General features: G+C 38.4%; 1 annotated feature.

The window, feature by feature from the left end:
* Positions 950 to 2,149: an enhancer, noted in NCBI's record as "BRD4-independent group 4 enhancer chr13:32212414-32213613 (GRCh37/hg19 assembly coordinates)". NCBI's record gives its function as "activates an origin of replication core promoter dependent on BRD2, P300/CBP, MED14 and CDK7 cofactors, and independent of BRD4, by STARR-seq in HCT116 cells {active_cell/tissue: HCT116}" and the evidence as "EXISTENCE:reporter gene assay evidence [ECO:0000049][PMID:35650434]".

Below are 7,820 nucleotides of genomic sequence, written 5' to 3' on the forward strand. Positions count from 1 at the left end.
TTCAAGGTTTTTAGCTTCTTTGCGATGGGTTTGAGCTTCCTCATTTAGCTTGGAGAAGTTTGTTATTGCCAATTGTCTGAAGCCTTCTTCTCTCAACTCATCAAAGTCATTCTCCGTCCAGCTTTGTTCCGTTGTTGTCAAGGAGCTGCATTCCTTTGGAGGAGAAGAGGCACTCTGATTTTTAGAATTTTCAGCTTTTCTGCTCTGGTTTCTCCCCATCTTTGTGGTTTTATCTACCTTTGGTCTTTGATGATGGTGACATACCAATGGGGTTTTGGTGTGGATGTCCTTTCTGTTTGTTAGTTTTCCTTCTAACAGTGAGGACCCTCAGCTGCAGGTCTGTTGGAATTTGCTGGAGGTCCACTCCAGATCCTGTTTGTCTGGGTATCACCAGTGGAGGCTGCAGAGCAGCAAATATTGCAGAATGGCAGATGTTGCTGCCTGATCGTTCTTCGGGAAGCTTTGTCTCAGAGGGGCACCCAGCTGTGTGAGGTGTCAGTCAGCCCCTACTGGGAGATGTCTCCCAGTTAGGCTACTCGGGAGTCAGGGATCAACTTGAGGAGGCAGTCTGTCCATTCTCAGATCTTAAACTTCATGCCGGGAGAATCACTACCCTCTTCATAGCTGTCAGACAGGGACGTTTAAGTCTGCAGAAGTTTCTGCTGCTTTTTGTTCAGCTATGCCCTGCCCCCAGAGGTGGAGTCTACAGAGGCTGGCAGGCCTCCTTGAGCTGTGGTGGGCTCCACCCAGTTCGAGCTTCCTGGCCACTTTGTTTACCTACTCAAGCCTCAGCAATGGCAGACGCCCCTCCCCCAGCCACACTGCTGCCTTGCAGTTTGATCTCAGACTGCTGTGCTAGCAGTGAGTGAGGCTCCGTGGTCGTGGGACCCTCTGATCCTGGCACAGGATACAATCTCCTGGTGTGCCGTTTGTCAAGGCCATTGGAAAATCACAGTATTAGGGTGGGAGCATCCCGATTTTCCAGGTACCATCTGTCACAGCTTCCCTTTGCCAGGAAAGGGAATTCCCTGACCCTTTGTGCTTCCCAGGTGAGGCAATGCCCCACCCTGCTGTGTGAGCTGCACCCCCTGTCTGACAAGTCCCAGTGAGATAAACCCAGTACCTCAGTTGGAAATGCAGAAATCACCTGTCTTCTGCGTTGCTCATGCTGGGAGCTGCAGACTGGAGCTGTTCCTATTCGGCCATCCTGGAACCTCAACCCTTTTAATGATTTAATTTTAATTTACTTGTTTCTAATTTGTGTTCAAATTAGCACCATAAGGAAAGTTCTTCTGTGTGCTTCCTGGCTCCCTGAGGTAATTGCAGTGAAACTGGCTCTTGTTGAATTGGCAACTATCAGGTAATACTGAAGAAGCCAAGATGGGGGGAGAGAAACCAGATACTGATTACATCAGCTAGTTCCAACTACATTTATTTTTTTCAAGAATAATGAGAGTCTGCAGCACTTGAGTCACAACTTCCTTCCTTCTCTCCCAGCCAGCTCATTGTGATGGGATCTCTGGGTGGGTGTGGCCAAGAAGACACTAAATCCCCAGTTAAAGCTGCTACCACCCCCAGGAGAAGTAGGCCACTGGCACCTTTCATCCCCCGAGTTTCATATTATAGAGGCTAACTTCCAAGTGAATACTACAGAAAGAGTGGGACTCCCTTCTGCCACACAGCCCCACTTGTAGGGTGGATATTCTATCCCAGGTGTATCAGACTGAGAATTCCAGGGCCCAATTGCTGTCACCCAGCTTTCTCTTAAGGTGGAGGTTCCACACTGGGAGAGACAAGCCAAGAAGCCCAGAGGCTACCACGTCTATCTAGCATCCTGCACATAAAGCAGGGCTGTCACTCCAAGGGAAGCAGACCATGGTCCTTGAACCCAGCTCTGGAGCAGTGGCTCAGAAATTTCACCCAGGGGCAGAGGCAGCTTATAAGGACAGAGAGCTCTAAAGCTCTTTATAAAGGAATTGTCTTTATTTAGAAGAAGTGGGAAAATGCAAGCCTAAAGGTGTTCTCAAAAGCAATGGACATTTCGTTGATAAGCGCTTAAGTGGAGCTAGTACCTCCTTGAGAGCTTTGAGCTAAACTCTAGGTTTGTTTGTTTACCAGAGAGAACCACAAAAAGGGATAGTTAAGAAAATGTCTCCAGGGACTGGAACAAACCTCAAAGACTGGAGTCAAAAATTATTCCTATAAAGAGGCTTACCTAAATTGGATAAGATGGTGGAACAATTTATGTTGCAGGGCTTTGTTGGAAACAAAAGAGAAATCAGCTGACAATTAGTGAAGCCTAACATCTGGTTGTGATAACAACAGAGGCAGACAGCCTCTGGGAAAGCCTCACAATAAGAAACAGTAAAAAGCCGTGCTGAAACCATTGTCAATCCAGGTGACTATGTGCAAGTCCAATGCGGTGCCCTCTGAGGAACAAAACCAGAGACTTCCTATCAGGGAAAATAGACCACGAAAATAGTCCAGTCAAGTCATTAAACAAAGAAACAAGTAAACAATAACAATAAGCCTCTGGCAGAGGATCAGAATCCAGAATTACTACAATATATTAATATTATTTTAAATAGCTAGTTTTCGGCAACAATAAAAAATTATGAGACATGCAAAGAAACAGGAAAGTATGACTCATGCACAGGGGAAAAAAGAAGAAAGAAAAAAACAATCAGGCAACAGAAACTGTGAGATGGCAAGATATTATACTTAATAAATTTTGAAAACTTAACAAATTTGTTAAATAAAGTTAACGATGACTTCAGAGTAGCTGTCATAAATATGTTAACAGAGCTAAAGGAAATCATGCTTTAAAAAGAATAGAAAGGTATAAGGACATTGTCTTATCAAATAGAGAATATAAAAAATATAATTTATTTAAAAATTAAAATTTAAGAATAGAAAAGCACAAAAAGTGAAATAAAAATTTACTAAAAGGGATCAACAGAAGATTTGAAGTGGCAGATGAAAGAATCAACAAACTTAAAGATAGATCAATAGAGATTATGCAAGGCAAGAGCAGAAAGAGAAAAAAGAATGAAGAAAATTGAACAGAACTTCAGAGAAATGTAAAACAGCATTAAGGAAACCAATATGTGTGTGATGGAAGTACCAGACAGAGAGGCAAGGGAAAAGGATCAGAAAAAAAGTACTCAAATAATATTATTAATGTAGTCTACACATTTAAAAATCTCAGTGAAAGACAAACAGAAATAACCCCAAAAGCAGACAGTAAAATCAAAAATAGGCAAATGGGATTCTATCAAACTAAAAAGCTTTTGCACACCAAAGAAAACAGTCAACAGAATGAAGAGACAACGTAAAGATTGGAAGAAAGTACTTGCAAACCATACATCTGATAAGGAGTAAATATCCAAAAGATATAAGGAACTTAAACAATTCAATAACAAGAAAACAAATGTACTGATTTTAAAATCGTCAAAAGACCTGAATAGGTATTTCTCAAATGAAGACATATGAATAGCCAATGGGTATATGAGAAAATGTTTAACATCACTGTCATAAGGGAAATGCAAATTAAAGCCACAATGAGATATCACCTCATACCTATTAGACTGGTTATTATAAAAACAATAAAGGCCAGGTGCGGTGGCTCACGCCTGTAATCCCAGCACTTTGGGAGGCCGAGGCGGGCGGATCACGAGGTCAGGAGATTGAGACCATCCCAGCTAAAACGGTGAAACCCCGTCTCTACTAAAAATACAAAAAATTAGCCGGGCGTAGTGGCGGGCACCTGTAGTCCCAGCTACTTGGGAGGCTGAGGCAGGAGAATGGCGTGAACCCGGGAGGCAGAGCTTGCAGTGAGCCGAGATCCCGCCACTGCACTCCAGCCTGGGCGACAGAGCGAGACTCCGTCTCAAAAAAAAAAAAAAAAAAAAAAAAAAAAAAAAAAAAAAACAATAAAAAGAACAAGTGTGAGGGAGAATGTGGAGAAAAGGGAACTCTTCCATACTGTTGGTAGGAGTATAAATTAGTATAGCCATAATGGAAAACAGTATAGAGGTTCCTCAAAAAAATTAAAACAAATTACCATATGACCCAGCAGTCTCACTTCTGGATATACATCCAAAAGAAATGAAATTGTTATATTGAAGAGATATCTGCACTCCTATGTTCATTGCAACATCATGGACAATTGCCAAGATATGGAATCAATCTAAGTGTCCACTGATGGATAAAAAAAATGTTTCTCTCTCGTATGTACATACTATAATTTTCCATTGTACATGTATGTATACCTGTACACGTACATATACATGATACAATATGTGTTATGTATGTATACATACATATGTGTTATGTACATATACATACATATTGTATCATATATATGTATGTGTACAGGTATATGTACTTATATAATGAAAAATTATTCATCCTTTAAAAAGAAGAAAATTCTGCTATTTATGACAACTGGGTGAACTTGGAGGACATTATGCTACGTGAAATAACCACAGAAAGACAAATACTACATGATCTCACCTATACGTGAAATACAAAAAAGTTGAACTCATAGAAGCAGAGACCAGAATGGTGGTTGCCAGGGGTTGGGATTGGGAGTGGGAGAAATAGGAAGAAGTTGGTTAAAGGGTACAAAATGTCAGTTATATAAGATGAATATTTTTGGAGACCTAAAGTACAACATGGTAACTATATACTGCATTGGAAACTTGAAATTTGCTCAGACAGTTGCTCTTAAATGTTCTCACCACAAAAGGAAAAATAGTGACTGATACTAAAAGAGTTTGCATATTTGTCCTCTCCAAATCTCATGTTAAATTGTGATTCCCAGTGTTGGAGGTGGGGCCTGGTGGGAGGTGTTTGTCATGGGGCAAGTCCCTCATGAGTGGCTTGGTGCTGTCCTTTCGGTAAAGAGTGAGTTCTCACACTATTAGTTCACGCGAGAGATGGTTGTTTAAAAGAGCCTGGCATCTCTCTGTTTCTTCCTCTCTTGCCATGTGACATGGCTGCTCCCCTTCAGCTTCCACCATGACTGGAAGCTTCCCCAGGCTCTCACCAGAAGCAGATGCTGGCACGATGCTTCTTGAACCATCTACAGAACTGTGAGCCAAAATAAACCTCTTTTCTTTATAAATTACCCAGCCTCAGGCATTCTTTTATAGCAGCATAAAATGGACAAATACAGTGACTATGTGAGGTGTTGGATATATTAGCTTAATTATGGTAATCATTTCACAATGTATACATATATCAAAACATCACATTATATACCATAAATATGTATAATACTTTTCTATTATAACTCAATAAAGTTGGAAAGAATAAAGTGTTTGCTTAATGAAGAAACAGAAAAAGTGTAATTTTGGGCAGTAATAGGAGAAAAACATCATATACTAGTGAACTCCAATAAATTAACAGCTGGCTTCTCATCAGAAACAGTAAAGGCTAGCAAGCAATGCAATGACATATTCAAGGTACTAAAAGAACAAAAGCTGTCAACTAAAAATCTTACATTCAGAAACATTGTCTTTCAAAAATTAAGGTGAAATGAAGCCATTCCTAGAAAAACAAAAACTGAAAGAATTTGTTGCTTCAGACACTTCCTGCAAGACATATTAAAGGAAGGTCTTTGGACTGAAGGGAAGCTACCCCAGACAGTAATTCAAAAAAGTGAAGAACATAAGTAAATGTAATTATGTAATTAGAAAATACAGTTTAAATGCACATTTCTTCCCCTTCCTTCTATTTATTTATTTTAATTTTACTTTAAGCTCTGGGATAGATGTGCAGAATGTGCAACTTTGTTACATAGGTATACACGTGCCATGGTGATTTGCCACACCTCCTTCTTTTAACTGATTTTAAAAGAAATGGTTTACAACAATATGTACATAATTTTATTGTTATGCCTGTATGTATATGAATGTAACATACTTGACAATAACAGCACAAAGTAGGTCAGTGGAAACAAAGGTGTATTAGAGCAAGAACATGACACTGAATGGTAACTTGAATCCACAGGAACAAATGAAGAGAACCAGAAATGGTAAAGAAGAAAGTTAGTCTAACTTTACAGCCAGTCTAACGAACTCTATAAATATGTACTTGCTCTCCTTTCATCTCTTATTTTCTATAAAAAAACACAAAAATTTATTAAATGACAATTGTAACAATGTATTATTGAGTTTATAACATATAAAGATTTATTTATAGCACCAATAGCATAAAAGAGGACAGAGAAAACAGAAGTATATAGGAGGAACATTTCTATATATCACTGGAATTAAGTTAGTATATTATCTGAATTAGATTCTGGTAAGTTAAGATATGTATTGTAAGCCTTAGAGCAGCCAACCAGAAAATAACTCAAAAAATATAGTGAAAATCACTAAATAAATTAAAATGTTACATTATAAAATACTCATTTTGTTGGGAACAAGCCCCCCAAAATCTGGCAATAATCTGGCCCCCAAAACTGGCCATAAACAAAATCTCTGCAGCACTGTGACATGTTCATGATGGCCATAAAGACCACGCTGGAAGGTTGTGGGTTTACTGGAATGAGGGCAAGGAACACTTGGCCTGCCCAGGGCAGAAAACCGCTTAAAGGCATTCTTAAGCCACAAACAATAGCATGAGTGATCTGTGCCTTAAGGACATGCTCCTGCTACAGTTAACTAGCCCAACCTACTCCTTTAATTCAGCCCATCCCTTCGTTTCCCATAAGGGATACTTTTAGTTAATTTAATATCTATAGAAACAATGCTAATGACTGGCTTGCTGTTAACAAATACATGGGTAAGTCTCTGTTTGGGGCTCTCAGCTCTGAAGGCTGTGAGACCCCTGATTTCCCACTTCACACCTCTATATTTCTGTGTGTATGTCTTTAATTTCTCTAGCGCCACTGGGTTAGGGTCTCCCCAACCAAGTTGGTCTCAGCATCATTTAATGAAAAAGAAATAAGTAAAGAAGAAAAAAGAAAAAACAGACAAGATATTTGAAAACAAAAAGTAAAATTGCAGTTGTAAATCCAGCTACATCAATAACAACATTAAATATGAATGTGTTAATCCAATCAAAGTCACAGATTGTCAGACTGGATAACAAAAATAAGATTGAACTATAGAATGTCTACAGAAGATTCAAAGAAAATTGGGTGAAAGTAAAAGAACAGAAAAAGACACATCAAGCAAACAGCAATGTTAAGAAAGCTGGAGTAGCCATACTGATATCACATAAGCAGAATTAAAACAAAAATATTATTACTAGAGATAAAGAGAAATAATTTATGACTAAAAGGTTAATATATCAAGAAGATATAATAATTATAAGCTGTGCAACAGAACCCAGGATGAAGCAAAAACTGACAAAATTAAATAGACGATTCAATAATAACCATTGGAGACTTTGATACTCCATTTTTAATAATGGATATAACAACTAGGGAAAAGATGAACACAGAAATAAAAGACCTAAAAAACAACATAGAACAACTAGATCTAATAGACGTGTATAGAACAGTCCACTCCAAAATAGCAGAATACACATTATTCTCAAATGCACATGAAACATTTTTCAGGATAGACCATATGCTAGGCCATGAAACAACCCTCACTACATTTAAAAGAATTGAATTATACAAAACATACTCTCTAACAATAATGAAATGAAATTAAAACAAGGATAAATATGTATACATTAAACAATACACTTTTAAACAACCAATAAATCAAATAATAAACCACAAGAAAGATTAGAAAATACTTTGAGATAAATGAAAATGAAGAGACGCATACCAAAACTTATGGGATACAGTGAAAGCAGTA

The sequence above is a fragment of the Homo sapiens genome, chromosome 13 (genome assembly GCF_000001405.40).
Source record: "Homo sapiens chromosome 13, GRCh38.p14 Primary Assembly".
NCBI lineage: Eukaryota > Metazoa > Chordata > Mammalia > Primates > Hominidae > Homo > Homo sapiens.